Source organism: Homo sapiens, chromosome 12 (assembly GCF_000001405.40).
Source record: "Homo sapiens chromosome 12, GRCh38.p14 Primary Assembly".
Classification (NCBI taxonomy): domain Eukaryota; kingdom Metazoa; phylum Chordata; class Mammalia; order Primates; family Hominidae; genus Homo; species Homo sapiens.
This window is the reverse complement of record NC_000012.12, coordinates 95,609,455-95,635,166: the sequence shown is the minus strand read 5'-3', so window position 1 is coordinate 95,635,166 and position 25,712 is coordinate 95,609,455. Positions and strand designations below refer to the sequence as shown.

At 42.9% G+C, this 25,712-nt stretch overlaps 6 annotated features.

The window, feature by feature from the left end:
* Window positions 1,009–2,208: an enhancer, noted in NCBI's record as "MED14-independent group 3 enhancer chr12:96026735-96027934 (GRCh37/hg19 assembly coordinates)". NCBI's record gives its function as "activates an origin of replication core promoter dependent on BRD2, BRD4, P300/CBP and CDK7 cofactors, and independent of MED14, by STARR-seq in HCT116 cells {active_cell/tissue: HCT116}" and the evidence as "EXISTENCE:reporter gene assay evidence [ECO:0000049][PMID:35650434]".
* Window positions 11,389–11,458: a silencer, noted in NCBI's record as "silent region_4739". NCBI's record gives its function as "represses an Ori minimal core promoter by ATAC-STARR-seq in GM12878 lymphoblastoid cells {active_cell/tissue: GM12878}" and the evidence as "EXISTENCE:reporter gene assay evidence [ECO:0000049][PMID:35858748]".
* Window positions 11,466–12,420: an enhancer, noted in NCBI's record as "H3K27ac-H3K4me1 hESC enhancer chr12:96016523-96017477 (GRCh37/hg19 assembly coordinates)". NCBI's record gives its function as "activates a minimal SCP1, AML or CMV promoter by ChIP-STARR-seq in primed H9 embryonic stem cells {active_cell/tissue: H9 hESC(primed)}" and the evidence as "EXISTENCE:reporter gene assay evidence [ECO:0000049][PMID:30033119]".
* Window positions 19,550–20,177: an enhancer, noted in NCBI's record as "H3K27ac hESC enhancer chr12:96008766-96009393 (GRCh37/hg19 assembly coordinates)". NCBI's record gives its function as "activates a minimal SCP1, AML or CMV promoter by ChIP-STARR-seq in primed H9 embryonic stem cells {active_cell/tissue: H9 hESC(primed)}" and the evidence as "EXISTENCE:reporter gene assay evidence [ECO:0000049][PMID:30033119]".
* Window positions 22,866–23,434: an enhancer, noted in NCBI's record as "NANOG-H3K27ac hESC enhancer chr12:96005509-96006077 (GRCh37/hg19 assembly coordinates)". NCBI's record gives its function as "activates a minimal SCP1, AML or CMV promoter by ChIP-STARR-seq in primed H9 embryonic stem cells {active_cell/tissue: H9 hESC(primed)}" and the evidence as "EXISTENCE:reporter gene assay evidence [ECO:0000049][PMID:30033119]".
* Window positions 23,435–24,003: an enhancer, noted in NCBI's record as "H3K27ac hESC enhancer chr12:96004940-96005508 (GRCh37/hg19 assembly coordinates)". NCBI's record gives its function as "activates a minimal SCP1, AML or CMV promoter by ChIP-STARR-seq in primed H9 embryonic stem cells {active_cell/tissue: H9 hESC(primed)}" and the evidence as "EXISTENCE:reporter gene assay evidence [ECO:0000049][PMID:30033119]".

Here is a 25,712-nt window from a genome sequence, read left to right as displayed (position 1 = left end):
AAGTCACCAGGAAACCCAGCTCCAGTGCCAAACCCACCTTTGCACCCTTGGACTGCAGCTATGTTTGTTTAAGGATGGCAGGAAAAAGGTGCACACATGGCTCAGTGCTCATTTGCTTCCTGCTCTGTTAGGTATTAAACCTCAGAAACTAGGGCAACTCTCAGTCTCTCTCGCTATAGCCAACTGACTAGAACATTAACCTCCAGTTTAACATCTGATATGGTTTGGCTGTGTCCCAACCCAAATCTCATCTTGAATTGTAGCTCCCATAATTCCCACGTGTTGTAAGAGGGACCTGGTGGGAGATAATTGAATCATGGGGGCGGTTTCCCCCATACTGTTCTCATGGTAGTGAATAAGTCTCACAAGATCTGATGGTTTTATAAGGGGACACCCCTTTTGCTCGGTTCTTATTCTTTACTTGCCTGCTGCCATGTAAGACGTGCCATTCACGTTCTGCCATGATTGCGAGGCCTCCCCAGCCACATGGAACTGTGAGTCCATTAAACCTCTTTTATAAATTACCCAGTCTTGGGTATGTCTTTATCAGCAGCATGAAAACAGACGAATACAACGCCCAATGAGTGTTTGCCTCCTCTCCTCTTCTCTTCTTTTTTCTTATCTCCTCCCAAGTTCCTGTAAGCTAAACACCATAATGTAATAAGCAAGAAGTATATGTTGCAGGATTTCTCTTGTTTATGGTTCTTATAGAAAAAATATTGTTGATTATCTTAACCTGCATGTAACTTATAATAACAAAAAGATTCCTGTCAAATAATTCTCCCTTAATAAATTCCCTTTGCCATTATAAACTAAGACATGACCTTGAAGAATTAATACCCAGACAATACAACATTTGTGTGTTATTTAATTAGCTTACTGCTTTTGTTAATGTACATTCCTGTGGTCACACACCACTTTCCACTCAAACCTAAAAAAAATGCTACACGGGATGAAAAACTTTTTTACCAGTGTGTCCATATTTATGCTCCCTTAAAAATCGTTTTTAACCTCCTAGCCAGGAGTTTTGAGGTTATCTCAGGACAATAGCTAATTTATTAAGTCCTAGACAATTATAACAACAATAAGCCTTTGTGCAAACTTTTGGCATACTAGAGATTTGGGGTTAAAAAAAGAGAGAGAGAGAATTTGTCAGATCCAGCAGAGACCACTGTCATTTTGGTACCATCTAATCCCCATTATGAAGTGATTTTTATCAAACTGGGAAGTGATCATCTGGCAGCATAAACGACACTGGAGAAACGAATTCAATACATCAGAGAGGTTATTCCATGTCATCTACATGCTCAAACAGGAGAGACAGAGAACATTGGCTCTCATAAATCCTTAGTTTCCGGCCAAAGGCCTCTCAGAGCTCTTGGCTGCCTAATCAGATGTCTGGGATTGTGAAAGCAAATGAAGTTTATGGAGCTGAGGGGGAACTTCTGATTTACCATAAAAAGGAGGTTTGAACTGGATAACTTTTTCAGTATTCTACATAATTATCTGATAATTATGTAATTATCTAATAATTATTATCTCCATTTTACATATGACACAACGAAGACTACAGAGAGTTGAGAAACTTGCTCACAGTCCGGCAGCAAGGAAATGATGGATTCAGAATGCAAATCTTCCCACCACACCCACATCACAGAGGAAGCTGCAGATCTTTACCGGTGATTCCATTTCAGCGCCCCCAGGTTGCCCAGTCTGGGCATGATGTAGTAACCCGGTGACTCACAGCACCGCACTCATGAGGTTGAGAGTCATTCAGTGATTCAGCAAGTACTACTGGGCAGCTACTGTGTGCCAGGCACTGGTCTAGGTGCTAGGGATACAGCAGTGAATGGAAAAAACTGCTGTCCTCACCGAGTTTACACTCTACTCAGGGGTAATAGATAAATAAATAAGTACATAATAATGTCAGGTAGTGATGAGTGCGATGAACACAGATAAGGAAGGGCAGGGGGCAGTGGCTCATGCCTGTAATTCCAGCACTGTGGGAGGCCAAGGTGGGATGATCGTTTGAGGCCAGAAGTTTGAGACCAGCCTGGGCAACACAGCAAGACTCTGTCTTTACAAAAAATAGAAATAAAAAATAACTGGGTGGGATGGTGTACGTCCATGGTCCTAGTTACTTGGAAGGCTGAAGACAGAGCAGCAGGAGGATCATTTGGGGCTGGGAGGCGGAGGCTGCAGTGAGCCAAGATTGTGCCACTGCAGTCCAGCCTGGGCTACAGAGTGAGACCCTGTCTCAAAAATAAATAAATAAATAAAATTTAAAATTATATGTATTTGAAAAGAAGAAGAATACATTTGAGCAAAGACTGAAGGAAATTAGGGGAGAGGGAAGAAAGTGACCCATGTGGTATCTGGGAAAGAGCATTTCAGGCAGAGGGAATATCAAGGGAAGGGCCTAAGCAGGAAGCTTAGACAGTTAAGGAAAAGTTCTTAGAATATTGCGCCAGGCTGCAGCAGAGCGAGCAAAGTGGTAGTTGAAAGAGATGAGGGGCATGGGGTGGCAGGGATGGAGGGGATCAGGAAGAGCCCTATGGCTTCTGAAAATAATTGGGATTTTACTCAGTCTGGAAGTCTTTGGAAGGTTTTCTGTAGCAAAGTGATATAGTCTGATTTACATTTTAAGAAACTCACTCTTAGTTGCCAGCTAACTTGGCTGTCACCAGTTAGCAAGGCCCCAAACCACAAACAGAATGAGAGGTAAGATGATAGTGCAAAAAGCACAGGTTTGGGAACTAGATCTGTTTCCAAATCTCAGCCTTCATCATCTGCTGGCTCTATTAACCTTGCAGTTGTTACTGTAGCCTCTCTGAGCCTCAGTTTCCTCAACTGCAAAAGGAAAAAATAACCTCCTCTATACTTATTAATTAAATATAAAGCACATGAAATATAGTAGTTAGCACTAAAAAATAAAAAATAAAAAAACCAGCCTTGTAGTTATTCGATTTAGTGATCAACTATTGAGTTACTTTATCATTATTAAAAATAATGCAGGCAAAAATTAGCCAGGCATGGTGGTACACACCTGTAGTCGTAGCTACTCAGGAGGCTGAGACACAGAATTGCTTGAACCTGGGAGGTGGAGGTTGCAGTGAGCCGAGATCGCACCACTACCCTCCAGCTTGGGTGACGGAGGGAGACTCTGTCTAAATAAATAAATAAATAAATAATACAGGCAAGACCTGGATTGAATAATATGTCTTCTCTGCCACTAGAATAATCACAACAAAAAATTAACAGTGGGGAAAAAATGAAAGAAAGATGTGCTCTTCCTTGCTCTTAAAAAACAACCCGGAAAATTGTATCCTAGGAAATTTTTAAGTATATACAAATAATTGTAAAGCAAGTAATGAATCTTAGTTCATTGTACATAGTTTCAGTAATTAGCATTTATCCAATCTTATTTTATCTTGTTTTTCTGGAATATTTTAAAGCAAATACCAGATATATTATCATTTCAACTATAAATCCTTCAGTTTGTATTCCTAACAGAAAAGAAGTTTTTGTTAACATAACTCCAATACAATGATTGTGTCGAACAAAACTAGCAATCATTTCTTAGTATCATCTAGTTAGTACCTAGTCCATGTGCAGATTTCTCAACTATCTCAAAAGTATCCTTTTACAATTATTTTGCTCAAATCAAGATCTAAACTAGGCCCATCAATTGCAGTTAGCTGATAAGGCTGTCAAGTCTCTCTTTATTTATTTATTTATTATTATTTATTATTTTGAGACGGAGTTTTTTTGTTCTTGTCGCCCAGGCTGGAGTGCAGTGGCACGATCTCAGCTCATTGCAACCTCCACATCCTGGGTTCAAGCGATCCTCCTGCCTCAGTCTCCTGAGTAGCTGGGATTACAGGCACATGCCACCACTCTTGGCTAATTTTTGTATTTTTAGTAGAGACAGGGTTACACCATATTGGCCAGGCTGGTCTCAACCTCCTGACCTCAGGTGATTCACCCGCCTTGGCCTCCCCAAATGCTTAGATTACAGGCGTGAGCTACCTCGCTTGACCTCAAGTCTCTTTTTATCTGCAACAGTCTCTTCTTCTTCTTCTGCCCCTTCCCCTGCTCCTCCCCTACTCCCTCTCTCTCTTCTCTCCTCCTTCCCCATCACCTCTCCTCTGTCTTTTGCTTTGAAAAAACTGTCCCTCTACATGCAAAGACATCAAATACTATACTGGGGACACTCTCCAGTGCTTCAGAGAGGAGTAAGAGGAATGCTTTTTTGTTTCCAAGAGAGGAGGTGAATACTATGAACTCCCGTAGAGAAAATACCATGTAATATGGTGAGGAGATGGCTGAGAGCCGACTTAGACTTTTTAATATGGGTATAAAGGGCTGTCATGGAAACGGACCATATGATCTGAGGCTTCTCTTCCAGTCCTAGAATTATCTGGGATCTATCAAGAGATAGGTATTTAGATGATTACCATGGGAAAATGACCAACAGAATTTCCTGTTTTCTGTTAAGGAGCAACCAGAAAATGTTTCCTTGTTGGTTAGAAATGACAAAAGTGTTTCCTTCCTGCCTGGTGGAAAGGAAGGGGATAGGCCGGTTGTCACTATGAAAGGCCGATGCTGCCCTTAGCACTGATGGCCTAATTGGGTTGGTTTAGCTAAATCCAACTCTGGAGTCATAACTAAAGCTAGTCAGCCTTTATTAATACTGTCAGGTAATTCTTAGAACAAGACTAAAAAGAATTACAGGGATACTGATAAATTCTGAATGAGCAGAAGTGGTTTTTTGAGATGAGAGAAAAGAAAACCAGGTTAAGATAGCTCCTTTTGATTCCATACCATGGTATAAGTAAGTTTTGCCAAAGGATCACTTGTGGAAATAACTACCAAGGTGCTAAACTTTCAAGATCTTGTCCAAGAAGTGACTTCTGAAAGCAAGTACAAAAGTCACATTTAGATATTGGTTCCCATACAGTTAAAGAAAGTGTATTTATTTAATTACTTTATTTAACTATCAGGTACAAAATCCCTTTGCAGACTTTAATAAAACCTGGGATCATGCCACTTCACTCCAGCCTGGGCAAAAGAGCGAAACTCTGTCTCAAAAAATATACATATATATGGTGATAAAGTTTCCCATTTTCCAATGCAGCTTCACATTTGAACAGCTCTAATTGATACAGCATTATGGCAGGGTTTTTGTGTGTGAGTGAGATCCAAAACACTCAATCATGTAAAAGGGTACAGTCCTGTTGTATGTTAACACACTGATCATATAAGCCTATGAGATGAGCCAATCACCAATTATGTTACAGTCGAATCTGCTTTGTGTTGGGATGCTTTAATGTAGGGTTTCACTAAATAAATGAATTTTCATATACTGAACTGAAAAAAAAGACCAAAATTAGAAATGAAGTATATTTGTATTCATTGCAAATTATTTTGGACTTGGGAATCCTTTTGAAATGCCCACGTGAATCAACAAGCAGTGGGAGGTGAAGAAAAAGAGCGTGGTCTCCCACTCATAGCTAATTCTGGCTCTGGTAATCAGAGAAACATAAGAGGCAGCCAAGTAAGGACTGGCAGCTCCAACCGGCTTGTTTTGTTATTTTGTCTTTGACTCAGTAGTCAACCTTCCTTTGGCATTCATTGGAGTGTGACCTAGGACTAGGCCCACTGTGTTCTGAGTATAATAATTCCTCATCAAAATGTAAAGCCAGGAGTCTAGTTGAATGGGAGGGCCTATCACATGGCTGAAAATGATGCAGGACAGGCAAGCCCCAAAATTAGGGTTTAGCCCAGGAGGGTTCTTAGCTTCACCCAGGAAAGAATTGTGAAAGGAAAATCTTGGAGTCCCAAAATCATTAAGCTAAAGGGAAAAGTCAAGCTGGGAACTGCTTAGGGCAAAACTGCCTCCCATTCTATTCGAAGTCACCCCTCTGTTCACTGAGATAAATGCCTATCTGATTGCCTCCTTTGGAGAGGCTAATCAGAAACTCAAAGTAATGTAACCATTTGTCTCTTATCTACCTATGACTTGGAAGCCCCCTCCGCACTTAGAGTTGTCCTGCCTTTCTGGACCAAACCAATGTTCATCTTATATATGTTGATTGATATCTCATGACTTCCTAAAATGTATAAAACCAAATAGTCCTCTGACCACCTTTGGCACATGTCATCAGGCCCTCCTGAGGCTGTGTCACCTATTTATTGGCAAAATTAACTTTCCAAATTAACTAAGATCTGTCTCAGATATTTGGGGTTCACAGAATCCAAGGGTGAGTGGTGGCATTAGAAAGCAGGGCTGCTCCATGCGCTGTGTGCCCAGATGAGCAGCTCACAGGCAGTTCTGTACTCGTATCTATACCCACTTTTAATTATATGCAAATTAAAGTGCAGTTTATGCAGACATTTCTAGGATGAGGGTGGTAACTTCTGGGTTATCAGAGTTGTTGCCATAGAAAGGGGCAGTAGCTTCAACATGAGTGTTGCCATAGCAATGGTAATCTGACATGGCACACTAGTGGGTGTGTCTTACAGAAAGCTGCTTCCACCAGGACCTGCTTTTTGTTTTTTGTTTTCTGAGAAGGAGTTTCCCACTTGTTGCCCAGGCTGGAGTGCAATGGCACGATTTCGGCTCACTGCAACCTCCACCTCCTGGGTTCAAGCGATTCTCCTGCCTCAGCCTCCCGAGTAGCTGGGATTATAGGCACGGACCATCAGGCCCAGCTAATTTTGTATTTTTAGTAGAGATGGGGTTTCTCCATGTTGGTCAGGCTGGTCTCGAATTCCCGACCTCAGATGATCTGCCCGTCTCGGTCTCTCAAAGTGCTGGGATTACAGGCCTGAGTCACCGTGCCTGGCAGGACCTGTTTTAGCTAGTCCTTGGTTTGGTCCAGTGTCCAAGCCCCGCCTCCGGAGTCGAGTCCTCCTCCTGCCTCACTCCCTGCTCAGAGATTAGATACTCCATTTTTTTTGTTTGTTTGAGACAGAGTCTCACTCTGTCGCCCAGGCTAGAGTGCAGTGTGCAGTGGGGTGATCTGGGCTCACTGCAAGCTCCGCCTCCCAGGTTCACGCCATTCTCCTGCTTCAGCCTCCTGAGTAGCTGGGTGCCCGCCACCACGCTTGGCTGATTTTTTTATTTTTATTTTTATTTTATTTTTTATTTTTTTTATTTTTAGTAGAGACGGGGTTTCATCGTGTGAGCCAGGATGGTCTGGATCTCCTAACCTCGTGATCCGCCCGCCTTGGCCTCCCAAAGTGCTGGGATTACAGGCGTGAGCCACCGCGCCCGGCCTAGATAACTCCTTAATCTCAAGGGGGCTGCAGAAGGGCGGAGGTCCATCTTCTGTAACTGCTTCCTACTGAGTTCATGGGCAGTCGGCCCCACGTAGCACTGGAGGAGTAAAAATCTCTGGATAGCTGGTCTAAGGGGCCCAAAGGCAGGACGTGTTCACTCTCCAGATCAGCAGACCAGATGGGTTGGAACTAGCTGGTCCTCAGTTTGGTCCAGTGTCCAAGCCTTGCCTCCGGAGTTGGGTCCCACCCCCTGCCTCAAAAAGAAGGCACAAATCTCACTAGGTGGGAAGGAAGCAAGAAGTATCTGCAGATAAAGGGAATGGGAGCGGACCACAGCTCTCCACTCGAAAATACATCTCTTCATCTCCTGTGTTTGTCCTACCTCTGGGAATTAAGTTTCTGACAATAAAGCACACGCTAGAGGTAGCACATGCTGTGCGAGGGTTGCCAGTTTGGGTTCAGCGCCCTGAATTACCCTATATATTTTTTTAATAGTTAGCCATGTCTTTTAAGGTCCAGAATTGATAGAAAGAGCAAAATTTTTAATTTTTTCCATTTTAAATTACAATAGGAGGAATTTTGGTTAGATTTGACCAAGATTCTAGTTTATAGTAAGTTGCTTTTAAAGGAAAAAAAATGAAAAGCCAGCCACTGATAAAGGCTGTTCTTTGGAAAAAGACATAATGTACTAATCCCATTTCCTCAAACTAAAATCAATAAGACCAATGGGAAAATACAGGGAGACAGGTTTCAAGTCAGTACAAGGAAGAACATTGTAACACTTTTATCGGCATTAAACATATCACTCCCTGAAGACACACAACAATGGAAATAGTCACGCTTGGATGACTTCTTTTTGTTTTTGTTTGTTTGAGACAAACAAACTCAGCCACCCAGGCTGGAGTGCAGCGGCATGATCACGGTTTGTTGCAGCCTCGACCTCCCTGGGCTCAGATGATCATCCCACCTCAGCCTCCCAAGTAGCTGGGGCCACAAGCATGCACTACCATGCCAGCTAATTTTTGTAATTTCTGTAGAGACAAGGTTTCACCATGTGGTCCAGGCTGGTCTCAAACTCCTGCAAGATTAGATGACTTCTTATTAGGAAATAGACTACCAATGATTTCCAACCACAGTAGGTCTGAAGATCCTTAGCATAAAGAATTTTGAGAACCCCCCACCCCCAGGGTAGTATTTGCACTCTAAGAATCTATTTAGAACCAGTATGCCACAATAACTGTACACTTAAAAATGATTAAAATAGTAAGTTTTATGTTATATTTTACCACAATAAAAAATATGATGACAGCTGGGCGCAGTGGCTTATGCCTGTAATCCCAGCACTTTGGGAGGCCAAGGCAGGCGGATCACCTGAGGTCAGGAGTTCGAGACCAGCCTGGCCAACATGGTGAAACCCCATCTCTACTAAAAATACAAAAATTATCTGTGTATGGAGATAGTACCATTGCACTCCAGCCTGGGGGACAAGAGCGAGACTTCGTCTCAAAAAAAAAAAAAAAATTAGCGGGGCTGTGGTGGCACGCCTGTAATCCCAGCTACTCAGGAGGCTGAGGCGGAAGAATCACTTGAACCTGGGAGGCTGAGGTTGCAGTGAGCTGAGATGGCACCACTGCACTCCAGCCTGGGAGACAGAGGGAGACCCTGTCTCAAATAAATAAATAAATAAATAATAACAAGGCCAGGCACGGTGGCTCACACCTGTAATCCCAGCACTTTAGGAGGCCAAGGCGGGCGGATCACCTGAGGTCAGGAGTTTGAGAGCAGCCTGACCGATATGATGAAACTCTGTCTCTACTAAAAATACAAAAATTAGCCGGGCGTGGTGACATGCGCCTCTAATCCCAGCTACCCGGGAGGCTGAGATGGGAGGTTGAGACAGGAGAATCGCTTGAACCCGGGAGGCGGAGGTTGCAGTGAGCTGAGATCATGCCATTGCACTCCATCCTGGGCGACAAGAGCGCAACTCCGTCTCAAAAAATAATAATAATAAAATAAAATAAATTTGTATTTTATTACAATAGCATTTGCAGATAGGAAACTCGTGTTTATTATTCCTTTTATGAATTTATTGACTTATGGAATGCCTAATATGTAGCAGGCACTGAGGTAGGCACTGAAGACACACAGGTAAAACCAATACGGCGCCTGACCTCATCGAGCACAGATACATGCAAGATGTGCTATTTATTGTGTCTACAGACAATGCTCACAGGTGGATGGGAGCACCCTGTCTCTGACTCCTCAGAATTAGCAGTTGCTTCCTTCTTTAGCCAGCAAACTTCTGCTGTATACATTATAAACAAACACACAGGTCAGGAATAATACTTGGTTACCAGTAATGTGATAAAGTGTGAACACCCAAAATGCCCTTGACAATGAAAGTAACTGATACGTGTTGATTTGTCACTCTAGGTCTGGAATTTTATGTCTATTGTTCAAAAAGAAAAAAGAAAAGCCTGCTTTTCAAAGTTCTTAGCATGGACATTTTGGGGATCTCCAAAGCAAGACTATGAACTAATAATTTAAAATAAAGAGGCTTTGCTTTAATATCACACTCAATTTTGCTCTTGTAAAAGAATAGTCGGATAGTTAACAATTTACCTGATACGCTGGGTGCCTGCCAAGGTACTTGCCGGTTTTATTCTAAAATATGTCCTGCCAGGGGGACAAATGAGAGGGATTCCTCCATTTTGCATCTGTGTTTCATACCTGTGCTCTTAGCAAAGGAGTAGGTTGTGGGGGAGAAGGAGGGTCTTTTATATTCAGCTGTATGTACTATTTGACATCAGAGACCCCATGAATAATCACTCTTTTTTCCATTCGGCCACCAGCTAGCAGGTTGCAATTCTTTCCTACCTGGAGCGCTGCAGGGGGTGGGGCAAGTGGAGACATTACTGGACATTTGCATTTAAAGAATTAATAAAAATTCCTTATTTGCCTGAAAGCCCCATGAAGTTTATAACCTTGACGCTTTATAGCCCCCTGCACTGGTTTCTCTCCTGGTATGGCCCAACGAAGCAGCATAAATCTGTATTTTAAAGTATGCAATTAGTAATGTGCTACTGGACCGCATCCTGGAACTATGCAGTTCCCTTGGCCACAGAATTTCACAAAAGGGAAACAAACAATACAGAACAATGAAAGGCATTCCCTGAGCGATACTAACCTTGAGGTCACCCATATTAATGGCAGCTATTCCACGTGAACATTTCTTACTTCGAGCAAACAATGTGTCGAGGACAAAAAGGTCAAAACTGCCTTTCTTTGGGTTGACATAAAAGAACTTTTTAATTATTCTTGCCTAGAAATGGACATTACTGGGACTTCTGGGGGCTGATTTTCAGGGTTTAGTTTGCAGACCTACCATAGGATGCTCTGAGATCCACCCTTACAGCAGTCCCTGAGCCCAGGCAACCTCTAGGGTCCTGCACCCTTCTAGGGAAAACACAGAAAAAGGAGATTAGGGCTGTTACCAAGACCACTAGACTCCTGAGAATGGGTCCTGATGGAAGAAGGTGGGAGTCTCCACCGCCAACACCCTGCAGGTGCAGGGAGGAGGTGGGAGCACTGGAAAGGGAGTACCTTTGGAAAATTCAAGAATATTTCCTAGGTCGGGTGCGGTGGCTCAGGTCTGTAATCCCAGCACTTTGGAAGGCCGAGGTGGGTGGATCACTTGAGCTCAGGAGTTCGAGACCAACCTGACCAACGTGGTGAAACCCCGTCTCTACTAAAGCTACAAAAATTAGCCAGGTGTGGTGGCAGACGCCTGTAATCCCAGGTACTCGGGAGGCTGAGGCAGGAGATCGCTTGAACCCGGGAGGCGGAGGTTGCAGTGAGCGGAGATCGGGCCATTGCACTCCAGCCTGGGCGAAAGAGCGAGACTCTGACTCAAAAAAAAAAAAAAAAAGATTTCCTGACCTCAAGGAGAGAGAAAGAACCTAGGCCTGGGCTTGGCAACTGAAGAACACCAATTAGGGCTCCACAGGCCTGCCTCTCTTGTGTAACCTTTAAAAAGGAATTTCTTGGAATGTAAATGGAATCCCAAACTGGTGAGGCCACTCAGGGATTTGGTAGAGACTCAAGCGCCCTCTAGAGGCGACGCTGCGGTGTCTGGTCATTGGGCTGCTTGAGGAGGTTTGAGGAGGCGTGGGCGGTAGAGGGTAGGGGTTGGGGTGGGGTAGTTACCAAACACAAAAACAGGAGAAGGTTGTCAAGACACAGCACCCCTGGGAGCTGCCAAGGCAGCCCTAGTTAATAAGAGCGGTTCCCAAAAGCAGCAGTATCTTCTATTCCTGATTGTCACCCTTAAGGGAAACTGAAATTAGTCTTTGCTGACTACTTAACATCTGGGGATAGAGTGGGGAGGAAGAGCAGTCTTGCTTTGTTTTTTGAGACAGGGTCTTGCTCTGTCACCCAGGCTGGAGTCCAGTGGCGTGATGACAGCTCACTGCAGCCTCAACCTCCCAGGCTCAAGTGATCCTCTCACCTCAGCCTCCCAAGCAGCTGGGACTACAGGTGCACACCACCACGCCTGGCTAATTGGTAGTTTTTCCATCTTTTGGAGACCACTTTGTGCTCTTGAGCCCTTTTATGCTACACTGTCTGGATCCTTGACTCCAAAATTAATTCTTCTTATTTCTTCCTCTGAAAAACCTTTGCAGACTTCAACTTTACCACCTATCCGGGAACCTGACTCAGGCCACTGCCTCTCACAATGTCCCTAGTGAGACAGCCACTCTACAGAACATAGCTTGCTCACCACCGCTCCCACTGCTCTGACCATAGGAGGAGGCATCGTCCTCCCTTTTGCCACACCTTTGTAACCCCACAACAGGCTCCTCTAGTGACTGACTCATCACAGCAGAACACCACCTAAGGCTTCCACAAAGGTTCAAAAGCAACCAACTGGAGACAATATAAGATCACCTATCTTCTAAAATGTGAACTAAATGAATTAGAATTATCTAGGGTGTTTGTTATAAATAAGATTAAGGACCACATTCAGAATTTTATTTATTATTATTATTATTATTGTTATTGAGACAGAGTCTCACTCTGTTGCCTAGGCTGGAGCGCACTGGCGCAATTTTGGCTCACTGCAACCTCAACCTCCCAGACTCAATCTATCCTTCTACCCTAGCCTCCCGAGTAACTGAGACTTACAGGTGCACACCAACACGCCTGGCTAATTCGTGTATTATAGAGACAGGGCTTCACCATGTTGCCCAGGCTGGTCTGAAACTCCTGGTCTCAAAGCAATCCTCCCACCTCAGCCTCCCAAAGTGCTGGGATTACAGGTGTGAGCCACCATGCCCATTAAATACTTCAAATTTTAATTAGAATTTCTGGAAGTGGGTCAGATATCTGCATAGATGGCAAACTTCCCAGGTGGTATTTATGCACATTAATATTTGTTTTTGGTTTTTCTTTTTGAATTTTTTTTTTTTTTTTTGAGACAGAGTCTCGCTCTGTCGTCCAGGCTGGAGGGCAGTGGCACCATCTCGGCTCACTGCAAGCTCTGTCTCCCGGGTTTACGCCATTCTCTCGCCTCAGCCTCCTGAGTAGCTGGGATTACAGGCATGCGCCACCACGCCCAGCTAATTTTTTGTATTTTTAGTAGAAACGGGGTTTCACCGTGTTAGCCAGGATGGTCTCGATCTCCTGACCTCGTGATCTGCCCACCTTGGCCTCCCAAAGTGCTGGGATTACAGGCATGAGCCACAGTTCCTGGCTCATGCGCATTAATATTTGAACCACTGGCATGAAGAATAATTTTTAACTGTTATAAGATGTGGCTCTTCTTAGCGCCTAGAGAACCAGGTCCCAACACGGGGAAACCTTCCATGCATAGATTTCAACCTGCATTATTCCGTCAAACATTGTCCCACCCCCACCACTGGAAGTATACTGGTATGTCTGCTAAGTAAAGCCCTCCCAGGCAAAATGCCAAAAGACCCAGAGAAAGAGTTCTCCTTTTGTCCTTAGGCTAAGGCTTGCCCAAGTCCTTATTTCCAGTCCCAGGAATTGTTTCTTCCAAGACGACTGACCTGGGAATTACCACTGCCATGATGGAGACCACCTCCGAAATCCACAAAGGTATGATCTTGCTCTCAGAGACTCAGGACAATCACTTTAATATGCTTCCAAAAGTCGGGATTATTCTTTTCCTAAATAACACCTCAGGTCAGGCCTTGACAGTCCCAGCTGAGCTTGCTCAAGTCTAACCCAGTTTTTTTTATAGTCTCTCCTCTGTTATAAGATAAAGATGATGCCTAAGGCCAGGTGTGGTGGCTCACACCTGTAATCCCAGGACTTTGGAAGGCCAGGGCAGGAGAATCACTTGAGTCCAGGAGTTCGAGACCCATGTGGGCAATGTAGTGACAACCTGTCTCTACAAAAAAAATTTAAAAAATAAAAATCACCCAGGAATGGTGGTGTGCTCCTTAGTTAGCCTCTTAGGAGGCTGAGGTTGGAGGATCGCTTGAGCTCAGGAGGTCAAGGCTGCAGTGAGCCATGATCAGACCACTGCACTCCAGCCTGGGCAACACAGCAAGACCCCATCTCAAAAAAAAAAAAAAAACATAAAGCCTATATCCCTTCCTTGAACTGGAAATACAGCAGAATTCCTTAAGAAAAAGCAGGTGGTAACAGAAGAGAAAGCCCCATACCTAGAAAAGAGACATTTTGAATTCTTTGATCCTAAAATGTGATCGATTTTTAGACAGACCATCAATATGGTGCAGGGTTGTTATTTTTTCCAAAAACGACCAGTATATTAAATGCACACAAAAATGTTTTACCAATCAACCACAGCATACATTTATTCATGCAATTATATTCCACTTTGTTGTGTTCTGTTACAATCAAAGTTTGAGGCTTCTCTTCCTCATGAACTTCCAAATCACTTCTTACGGACAGCATGGTGTACGGCATCCAGTGGCGAACCTCCATGTACCATAAAACTTGCTCATCTTTACCACTTTGCGGACTAACAGGATAATGTCAAGGCATATTAAAGAATTCCAGGTTGTGGCCGGGAGCGGTGGCTCACGGCTGTAATCCCAGCACTTTGGGAGGCTGAGGCAGGCAGATCACCTGAGGTCAGGAGTTCGAGACCAACCTGGCCAATATGGTGAAACCCCATCTCTACTAAAATTACAAAAATTAGCTGGGAGTGGTGGTGCATGCCTGTAGTCCCAGCTACTTGGGAGACTGAGACAGGAGAATGGCTTGAACCCAGGAGGCGGAGGCTGCAGTGAGCCAAGATCGTGCCACTGCACTCCAGCCTGGGTGACAGAACAAGACTCCATCTCAGAAAAAAAAACCACATTGTTTCTGCTTTCTGCATTTGTTTTTATTTCTCAGTAAAATTACACGTGACTGGAAGTTAGGCAGCTTTCTTCAAATATTAGCTAGAAAATGTTGACATATTCTAGTGCCTGAGTTTTTCATGATATGTGATCAGTCATACCAATGTCTCCTATACTTGGCAACTTCCATTTCCTTTCATTGCATTGCCAGGCCCTTGACATAATCGCTTTCTGCATCACAGTGACAAAATCAAATAATGTATTTGTGAGTGGCTCCCCTTCTTGGAACCTGTAAAGCAGGGGTCCCCAGCCCCCCAGGCCATGGACTGGTACCGGTCTGTGGTCTGTTAGGAACCGGCTGCACAGCAGGAAATGAACAGTGAGTGAGCATCACTGCCTGAGCTCTGCCTTCTGTCAGATCAGCAGTAGTGTTAGATTCTCATAGGAGCTCGAACCCTATCGTGAACTATGCATGCAAGGGATCTAGGTTGTGCGCTTCCTATGAGACTCTAACTAATGCCTGATGATCTGAGGTGGAACAGTTTCATCCCAAAACCATTCCCCTTCCCCACCAGTGCATAGAAAAATTGTCTTCCATGAAACCAGACCCTGATGTCAAAAAGGTTGGGGACCACTGCAATAAAGCATATGACTTTTGCTAATCAAGAAATATGAAGAGGAAGCCAGTCTTCCAGTGACAACTTTTGTTCCCTTATAAGAAATTTATATCTCATAGCTATATGTCCATGCCCTTCCAAATACACAGTAACTTTTTTCAATGCTACAATAAAGTGTAACCCTTTGAAATTGATTTTTGTTGCTGTTGTTGTTTTTAAATTAATATGAGATAGGGTCTCACTATGTTGACCAGGCTGGTCTTGAACTCCTGGCCTCAAACAATCCTCTCATCTTGGCCTCCCAAAGTGCTGGGATTACAAACATAAGCCACCACGTCCAGCCCGAAATTGATTTTAAACGACAGAGGCTGGGCATGGTGGCTCATGTCTGTAGTCCCAGCACATTGCAAGGCGGAGGCAGGTGGTTCACCTGAGGTCAGGAGTTTGAGACCAGCCTGGCCAGCATGGTGAAACCCTGTCTCTATTAAAAATACAAAAAAAAAATGAGCTGGGCGTTGTGGCAGGCACCTGTAGTCCCAACTACACGGGAGGCTAAGGCACGGGAATCACTTGAACCCAGGAGGTGGAAGTTGCAGTGAGCCAAGATTGCACCACTGCACTCCAGCCTGGGTGACAGAGTGAGATCCTGTCTCAAAAAAAGAGAAAAGGAACGTCATCTTACTCCTTCCCTATACCACCTAATAAGCAGTATTTCGTTCTGCCACGGGTCTTTTGTAGGGTACAGAATTGTGTAAGGCACTTGTTTGCATTCTATGGTTTCTAAGCAATAAGGAGAATATAGAAGACTGTGCCAAAATTGTCTGGTGAAGAAGTACACTGATATACATTTGCAAAAAAAAAAAGACAAAAAAATTATTTAATGATGCAAAATTGTATTTTGCCAGTTTGGTTGGTTTGTTCCTTTACTGAATTTTGATGATACAGTTTTGAAATATTTTCACTGTGCAAATTCCTTCAAACTGTTTCCTATTACCTCAAGTTTAAAAGGTGGTTAGGTTCATTTCTGAAAATTTGATAGCTGTCAAAGATAGCATTATCAATTAGTTTATAAAGGATGTACTATTCAATAAAAGGTGTTAGGATAAATAGTTATATATCCATGTATAAGAGTTTAAAGCTCTTAGAAAAAAATAAATAACTTGGAAGAATTATCAATAAACATCTAAAGAGTAGATGTCAGAGGCCAGGTGTGGTGTTTCACACCTGTAATCTCAGTACTTTGGGAGGCTGAGGCAGGCAGATTGCTTCAGCTCAGGAATTTAAGACCAGCTGGGGCAACATGGTGAAACTCTGTCTCTTCATATAAAAATTAGCTGGGTGTGGTGGTGTGCACCTGTAGTCCCAGCACTTGGGAGGCTGAGACGGGATTGTTTGAGCCCAAGAGGTAGAGGCTACAGTGAGCTATGATCATGCCATTGCATTCCAGCCTGGGCAACAGAGTGAGACCCTGTCTCAAAAACAAAAACAACAAAAAGAGTATAAAACAGTCATACAAATACCCCCAAACAAAGTAAAATACCCCAGGCATGGGAATGAGAAATAACAAATTGAGGATAGTGGTTAACAGGAGAAGGACTGAGGAGAGATATACCAGGTATTTCAACTCTATCTTACTTTTTGGTGCTGCTATTCCTTCAAAGGAAACAAACAGATCTGAAAGAAACATGTTATGGCAAGATGCTAAGATTTGTTAAAGCTGGGTAATGGGTATATATTATTTGTCATATTATTTCCAGAGTCCAGAATGCTAACCATTACACTATGGATGTCATATTATTTTCTATATGCCTAAAATATTTTATTATTATTATTATTATTAAGACTAGTCAAGGCCAGATGTGGTGGCTCACACCTGTAATCCCAGTGCTTTGGAAGGCCAAGGCGGGCAGGAGTTCGAGACCAGCCTGGCCAATATGGTGAAACCCTGTCTCTACTAAAAATACAAAAAAATAGCTGAACATGGTGGCAGGCACCTGTAATCCCAGCTACTAGAGAGGCTGAGGCAGGAGAATCACTTGAATCTGGGAGGTGGAGGTTGCAGTGAGCCAAGATCACGCCACTGCACTCCAGCCTGGGTGTGACAGAGCAAGCCTCCATCTCAAAAAAACAAAAAAACAAACAAACAAAAAAAGACTAGTCAAGTGCAGTAGTGAGAAGGAGGAAAAGACAATCTGTAACTGACTGTGAACAATCGGTTGAAATAGTACAGTACCTTTGGACCAGCTTTTTTTTTTCTTTTTTTTTTTTTTGAGATGAGTCTTGCCCTTTCGCCAGGCTGGAGTGTAGTGACGCGATCTCCACTCACTGAAACCTCCACCTCCCAGGTTCAAGCAATTCTCCTGCCTCAGCCTCCTGAGTAGCTGGGACTACAGGTGCATGCCACCACTTCCAGCTAATTTTTGTATTTTTAATAGAGACGGGGTTTCACCATGTTGGCCAGGATGATCTCCATCTCTTGACCTCATGATCCGCCCACCTTGGCCTCCCAAAGTGCTGGGATTATAGGCGTGAACCACCACAGCCGGCCCAGGCTTTTTTTTAAAAGGAAGGGTATACTATATTATGGTGTACTAGCAACAGAATAGTACAACAGTGACTAACACAGTATAACTGATACCGTGTTAGCTTTGTCTTCCACTATAGATAAGAGTTACTCCAAGTAGATAAATGCTAATGTCCAAAGTTTTCTGTGGCACAGTGCTTTTAAGCATTAGTATAATTCTGCAGATATTTTAAACATATAAACATTTCAACTGAGTTGTGTTAATGGGAAGTAATTTTCCATCATTTCTGTTTAATGATAAAGCTTAAAATTGAGGACAACTAATATAAGAAAACCTCATTTTAGTTTTTCTTTAGAAATGGTCCTCTCATTTTGAAAACACTAGTTCTTTCATACCTCTGAGGTTTTGGGAGAGATCATTTTCTAAGTGACGTTTTAGTGACTTGAAAGAAACAGAGTTCCAAAAGGTGAACACGCTGTCTTTTTTCAGTGCCAGATGGTTATTAACATGGTGGAGGCAGAACACAAACCCAGAAATCAAGAAACTGAATTCTGGCCAGGTGCAGTGGCTCATGCCTGTAATCCCAGTACTTCTAGAGGCCAACGTGGGCGGATCACTTGAGCTCAGGAGTTCCAGACCAGCCTGGGCAACATGGCAAGATCCTGTCTCTACAAAAAATACAAAAATTAGCCAGGCGTTGGTAGCTTACGCCTGTTGACCCAACTACTCGGGAGGCTGAAGTGGGAGGATCGCTTGAGCCCAGGGGGGCAAAGGTTACAGTGAGCTGAGATAGCACCACTGGACTCCAGCCTGGGCGACAGAGTGAGACTCTCTCAAAAAAGAAAGAAAGAAACTGAATTTTAATCTTGGTTTTGGTGCTAACTAAACAGAGGGAAGAGTATAGTCTCTTTCTCTTTTTTTAATAAATAAATTACTAGATATTTTTAATAGAGACAGGCTCTCACTATGTTGCCCAGGCTAGTCTCGAAATCCTAGGCTTAAGCGATCCTCCTGCCTCAGCCTCCCAAAGTGCTGGGATTCCAGGCATGAGCCACCATACCCGGCCCTAGCCTCATTCTTAAAATCAGTAAAATATGGATATTGGACCAGTTACTCTAAATTCCCTTCCAGTTCTGACTGTGAATATTTGTCTTGAGCAGTAAGGTATATGACATGGTGGTAAGCAAAATTAAAAAGCAAAATGTAAACCCCAAATGAAAGAAAAGCATTTTAAAACTTCCATCCAGTGGCCTAATCATCTGAATTAAGAATACAACCTACCAAGCACCAAGTAATAGCCAGATGGTCATTTGGATCCTGGAGGTACTTGTAATATAACACTATCTTAATGAGCTTCTTGGGGCTTGGGAAATGTTGGAAGTAATTGAGGAGAACTAAAGCTGTTGAGAGGAGGACACTATAATCAGTGGTTCTCATCTTTGTTATGTATAAGAATCACTCATTTGTCTCATGGAAAACACAGCTGCCTGAGCTCCACCCTAAAAATTCTGATTCAGGAAATAGACTTGGCTGCCTTCTTCAGAAGCCCCACAGATGATTTTAGTGTACACAAAAGTATAGGAACTGATGCCATCAGGGAACCATACCAGCAGATTTCCCTGTCATTTTACTTGGTGATTAATAACAGAATTGTAACCACATGTCTACAATTATTTATTTATCATTGACTGCCTCATATTATCTTTTTTCTTTTTTCAGCAGGTCCAGGATTATTCAGTCTGATACTGCCTCACATTACAATTAAAACATTGAGCCCAGGAGTTTAAGACCAGACTGGGCAACATAGCAAGACCTCATCTCTACAAAAAAAAAAAAAAAAAAAAAAATTAGCCAGGCGTGGTGGTATGTGCCTGTGGTCCCAGCTACTCCGGGGGGCTGAGGTGAAAGGGTTACTTGAGCCAGGGATGGAGGTCAAGGCTACAGTAAGCCATGATTGCACCACTGCACTCCAGCATGGGAGACAGGATTGAGACCACATCACCAAAAAAAAAAAAAGAAAGAAAAAAAGAAAAAGAAAAACCAAAAACTGATGTAATGATGATGATAATGGTGATAACAATGATGATGAGGTTGATAGCAGCTAATATTTATTAAGCATATATTGGGTGGGTGCAGTGAATCCTAGCACTTTGGGAGATCAAGGCGGGCGGATCACCTGAGCTCAGGAGTTCAAGACCAGCCTGGCCAACATGGCAAAACCCCATCTCTACTAAAATTACAAAATATTAGCCAGGGTGGTGGCACAGGCCTGTAATCCCAGCTACTTGGGAGGCTGAAGCACGAGAATCACTTGAACCCGGGAGGTGGAGGTTGCAGTGAGCCGGGATGGTGCCACTGCACTCCAGCCTGAGCAACAGAGTGAGACTCTGTCTCAAACAAACAAAAAACAAGCATATATTATGAGCCAGACATCATACTACTATTATATTATATTATTATTACCATCAGCTGGCCCAATTTAATACAGTTAATGAGTGACCATGCCAAAATTCCAACTCAGACATTCAGAACCCATACTATCAACCACTACCTTATACTGCCTCTATACCTATAGTACCATCAATAATAGCTGTTGGTAACAAGAGCTACCATCCTATAGTGTACCAGCTACATGCTGACCTCTGTTAAATACATTATCTCACTTAATTCTCAAGGGGTTCCTGCAACTTAAGTGTTTCTGTTCCTGTTTTACAGATTGGAAAACTGGGACTGAGATTAGGGAAACCCAGCTATGAAGTGGCGGAACTCCAAGTTGAGGTCAGATGTGCTGACTCCCAAGCCTGTTCTCTTTTGGCTACATCAAGCTGCCTCTCTAGCTATCAGTGGCTAAGCCACTATTCTGTCCAGGAATTTTATCTTTGTCCTGTCTGGGTTGGTCATGTGACTCTAAAAGTATATGGTCCATTATATCTACTTCTGAAGGCCAAACATCGCTTTTGGATACCTGCCTCTTAAGGATAAGTTTTCATTTTTCAAGCCCTCCAAGGTAGTGGGTCCAAGACTTTTTTTTTTTTTTGACTGCTCAACTCTACCAATAAAACATTTTGAGCACAAATCCCACTATATGTATATTTATTTCTAAATTATATCATATAATATGACCTCATATATTATGCATTTGATAAAACATAAAAATACAGAACATTTTAAAGGATGAGGTTTTTGTTTTTGTTTTTGTTTTTGAGATGGAGTCTCACACTGTCACCCAGGCTGGAGTGCAGTGGCGCCATCTTGGCTCACTGCAATCTCTGCCTCCCGGGTTCAAGCAATGCTCCTACCTCAACCTCTCAAGTAGCTGGCATTATAGGTGCCCACCACCACACCCGGCTAATTTTTGTATTTTTAGTAGAGGCGGAATTTCTCCATGTTGGCCAGGCTGGTCTCGAACTCCTGGCCCCAAGTGGTCCGCCCGCCTCAGCCTCCCAAAGTGCTGGGATTACAGGCATGAGCCACCACTCCTGGCTAAGGATGAGATTTTTAAATATATAAATATTTCTAATGTTTTCTTCCAACATCCTCCCTTTGGAGGCTGTTGTTTTAAGAAACCCCCACTAGGCCAAATGGCCACAGTCACTGATCTAACAACTTGAAAATGGGAAAGCTCCAAGATAGTAGCTTCTAACCTGGCTGAGTTGAAAAGCTGTTGCTGTTTTGTTTTTTGAGACAGGGTCTCACTCTGTCACCCAGGCTGGAGTGCAGTGATGCAGTCATGGCTCACTGCTGCCTCAACCTCCTGAGCTCAAGAAATCCTCCCACATAGCTAGGACTAGGGGTATGCACCACCACGCCCAGCTAATGTTGCCCGTAGGGAGGCCTCATCTCTACAAAAAAAAAAAAAAAAAGGGCTGGTCTTGAACTCCTGGGCTAAAGCCCCCCCAAAAATTCTGATCCTCCCCGCTCAGCCTCCCAAAGCGCTGGGATTACAGGTGTGAACCACTGCACCCAGTGAAAAGTTTTTTTTTTTTTAAGATTCTCAAGCCCCGTTCCCAAAGATTTTGACTTAATAGATATTAACACCTCAGTGTGTCTGACGCTTGGATGTGGAAACTGCTGCTCTAAAAGATCCAATCCTGGCCAGAAGACCAGAGTCAGTGACAACAGTGACTACATCTGTTGGTCCTAATAGCATTGCCTCTCCCTGCCTGGCCTCATCCCTGGCCATCTCATCTTTCTGATAAACTCTGACTCACAAGATTCCCATTATCCTCCTGATGTATGCTTTAACTTGGGAGGACGGATTTATTTCAGCTGTTCGATTTTAAGATGGAAGAAAATAGTTTCCAGGTTAGGCACGGTGGCTCACACCTGTAATCCTAGCACTTTGGGAGGCCGAGGCGGGTGGATCACCTAAGGTCAGGTATTTGAGACCAGCCTGGCCAACATGGTAAAACCCTGTCTCTACTAAAAATACAAAAATTAGCCGAGTGTGGTGGTGGGCGCCTGTAATCCCAGCTACTCGGGAGGCTGAGGCAGGAGAATCACTTGAACCCGGGAGGCGGAGGTTGTGGTGAGCCAAGATTGAGCCATTACACTCCAGCCTGGGCAACAAGAGCGAAACTCCGTCTCAAAAAAGAAAAAGAAAAAAAAAAGTTTCCAAAGGATTTTTACCACCAGGAAGACTATCCTAGGTAACAACAGATAACTTTCTCAGTGGGCTTGTCCTTTATCGCTTTTAAAGAAAACTCCCAATCCCAGCACTTTGGGAGGCTGAGGCGGGCGGATCACCTGAGGTCAGGAGTTCAAGACCAGCCTGACCAACATGGAGAAACCCCACCTCTACTCAAAATACAAAATTAGCTGGGTGTGGTGGTGCATGCCTGTAATCCCAGCTACTCGGGAGGCTGAGGCAGGAGAATCACTTGAACCCAGGAGGCTGAGGTTGCGGTGAGCCAAGATCACACCGTTGCACTCCAGCCTGGGCAACAAGAGCAAAACTCCATCTCAAAAAAAAGAAAGATAAATAAATGAATTAATTAATTAATTAAACTCCCCTTTTTCCGACAGTATAGCACAATAGCTTTTAGAGCTTCTGGCTAGGCTCAATGCAGAACAGCTTTTAATTATTTCTTGTCCACTACCTATGGATTACTCTCAAGATACTACCACTTCTAAAATAAGAATTGTTAGTAATTAATTATATTCACACAGCTGCATTTATGGACCTGTGTGTGTACTGTAAATGACTGAGGAATATAGCCATGCAATCTGTTCCCAAGGTCATGGCTTAATGACTAACACACCTGAGAATGCTTTATCAAATGTTTGCATAAGCCATTGTGTTTGGCATATCAGGAGGAGGTTTTCACTAGGCCAGCTGATTAGCATTCATTAAAATGAGAAAAGTATCTACTCTGCTTCTCAGACCTACTCTAACCAGCCTCAATTCTCGTCATTTACTTAATTGCTTCTTTCCTGATTTGCTATTAATTCCCAATCTATCTCTCATCACCCTACCACTTTTCTAAGGTCTTTGTCCCTACTTCCACCCTCCAGACACCTGCCCGAATGGCAGGAGTGATAACATCAAGCCTACAGCAGTAGGTGGATTGCTATGATGAGAACAACAGGGCATTCATTTAAGAGGGACTCCAAGCCATTTTGTTCCACAAATACATTTGCAATATTCACAAAATCAGCTTGGTGCAGTGGCTCACACCTGTAATCCCAGCACTTTAGGAGGCTGAGGCAGGTGTATCACTTGAGGTCAGGAGTTCGACACCAGCCTGACCAACATGGTGAAACCCCGTCTCTACTAAAAACACAAAATTAGCTGGGCATGCTGGTGCATGCCTGTAATCCCAGCTACTCGGAGGCTGAGGCAGGAGAATCGCTTGAACCTGGGAGGCAGAGGTTGCAGTGAACCATTGCACTCCAGCCTGGCCAACAAGAGTGAAACTCTGTCTCAAAAAAACAAAAAAAATTCACAAAATCACATACACACAACCACTGATAAAGCTTCATTTATTGGACAAGTCAAAACTATCTTTCACATTTTTTAAAAAGGAAGACTATTTTGTCAGGAGAATTATCTGTCATGTAGAAGCTGAAAGAAATTTTAGACTTGAAAATAACAATTTTGGGGGCCAGGCATGGTGGTTCATGCCTATAATCCCAGCACTTTGGGAGGCCAAGATGGGCAGATCACTTGAGCTCAGGAGTTGGAGACCAGCCTGACCAATATAGTGAAACCCCGTCTCTACATAAAATGCAAAAATTAGCTGGGGCATGGTGGCACATGCCTGCAGTCCCAGCTACTTGAGGGACTGAAGCGAGAGAATCCCTTGAGCCCAGGAGGCAGAGGTTGCAGTGAGCGAAGATAGCACCTGGGCAAAATCCCATCTCAAAAAAGAAAAAAAAAAAAAAGGAAAGAAGAAAGAAGAAGAAGAAAATAACAATTTTTAAATTATTTCACCAGTTAAAATTGAAGTAACTCTGGTCGCCGTAATCTTAGATTTAGGGGTTTATCCTAAGGAAATAATCAACATGCATTCAAAGATTTATGTTCAATGGTGTTCTGCTGAATGTTACTATAAAAAGAAAAAGTTGAACCCAATCTGAATGTCCAACAATAGAAATTTTGTTTAATAAATTGTGGTATGTTCATTTGATTAAGCTTCAAAATCATGTAAGCAAATAATATTTAAAGAAATAATAAAATGTATAAAATATCAACATATGGTGGGAGGAAGAGCAGATAGTAAAACGTGAGTTTATGCTGATTTTGATGTCAAAATGTTCTAATTATCAGAAGTAATTATCTGATGCAATTTCAGGGTTTTTTTTTTTCCAAATTTTCTATAATAAGCATTATTTTATTTAAATACATATGCACACATATATTTTTATTTTAAAAGAAAAGGGTGAAAAAAACGGTAGGTATAGTTGTTGAAACACTAAAAAATAATTTCATCATGAAAGTATACTTTGGTTCCTAAATCAATTTAATTTGAAATCAGTGTAAATGTAAGTTTCCACATTTTTAAATTTTGACTACTCAGTGCATACAAATTATTATTCAGAGCACTAACTTAGCTATCACAAAATGTTTAAGCCATGTTATTTGCATAAACACATGGATAATATTCTTCTGTTGTTTTTATCCCATCTGCTTTTTTTTTTTTTTTTTTGAGACAGAGTCTCGCTCTGTTGCCCAGTCATGAGTGCAGTGGCGCGATCTCGGCTCACTGCAAGCTCCGCCTCCCGGGTTCACGCCATTCTCCTGCCTCAGCCTCCCAAGTAGCTGGGACTACAGGCGCCTGACACCACGCCCGGCTAATTTTTTTTGTATTTTTAGTAGAGACGGGGTTTCACCGTGTTAGCCAGGATGGTCTCAATTTCCTGACCTCGTGATCCGCCCGCCTCGGCCTCCCAAAGTGCTGGGATTACAGGCGTGAGCCACTGCGCCCGGCCTATCCCATCTGTTTTTCTTATTGCTTTAGAAACATGAGAATAATAAAAAGAAAGACACTATGACATTCAGTACTAAATAAATGATAATATGCATGCTAAGCAGCCTACTCATAATAATAATGTTTCTTTTGTAGAAAAAGATACATTTTGAGTCAATTACTCATAACTAGTAAATGACCTGATTGCTGCTAAGTACTGATACGACTCATATTTTCCAAGATCCTATATTATCTGTGTTTATACTAAATGATGTCACCTTATATATTCTTTTTTTTGAGACAAAGTTTCACTCTTGTTGCCCAAACTGGAGTGCAGTAGTGCGATCTTTGCTCACTGCAACCTCTGCCTCCCTCCTGTCTCAGCCTACCAAGTAGCTGGAATTACAGGCATGTGCCACCATATCCGGCTAATTTTGTTTTTGTTTTTGTTTTGTTTTTTGTAGAAATGGGGTTTCACCATGTTGGTCAGGCTGTTCTCAAACTGCTGACCTCAAGTGATCGGCCCACCTCAGCCTCCCAAAGTGC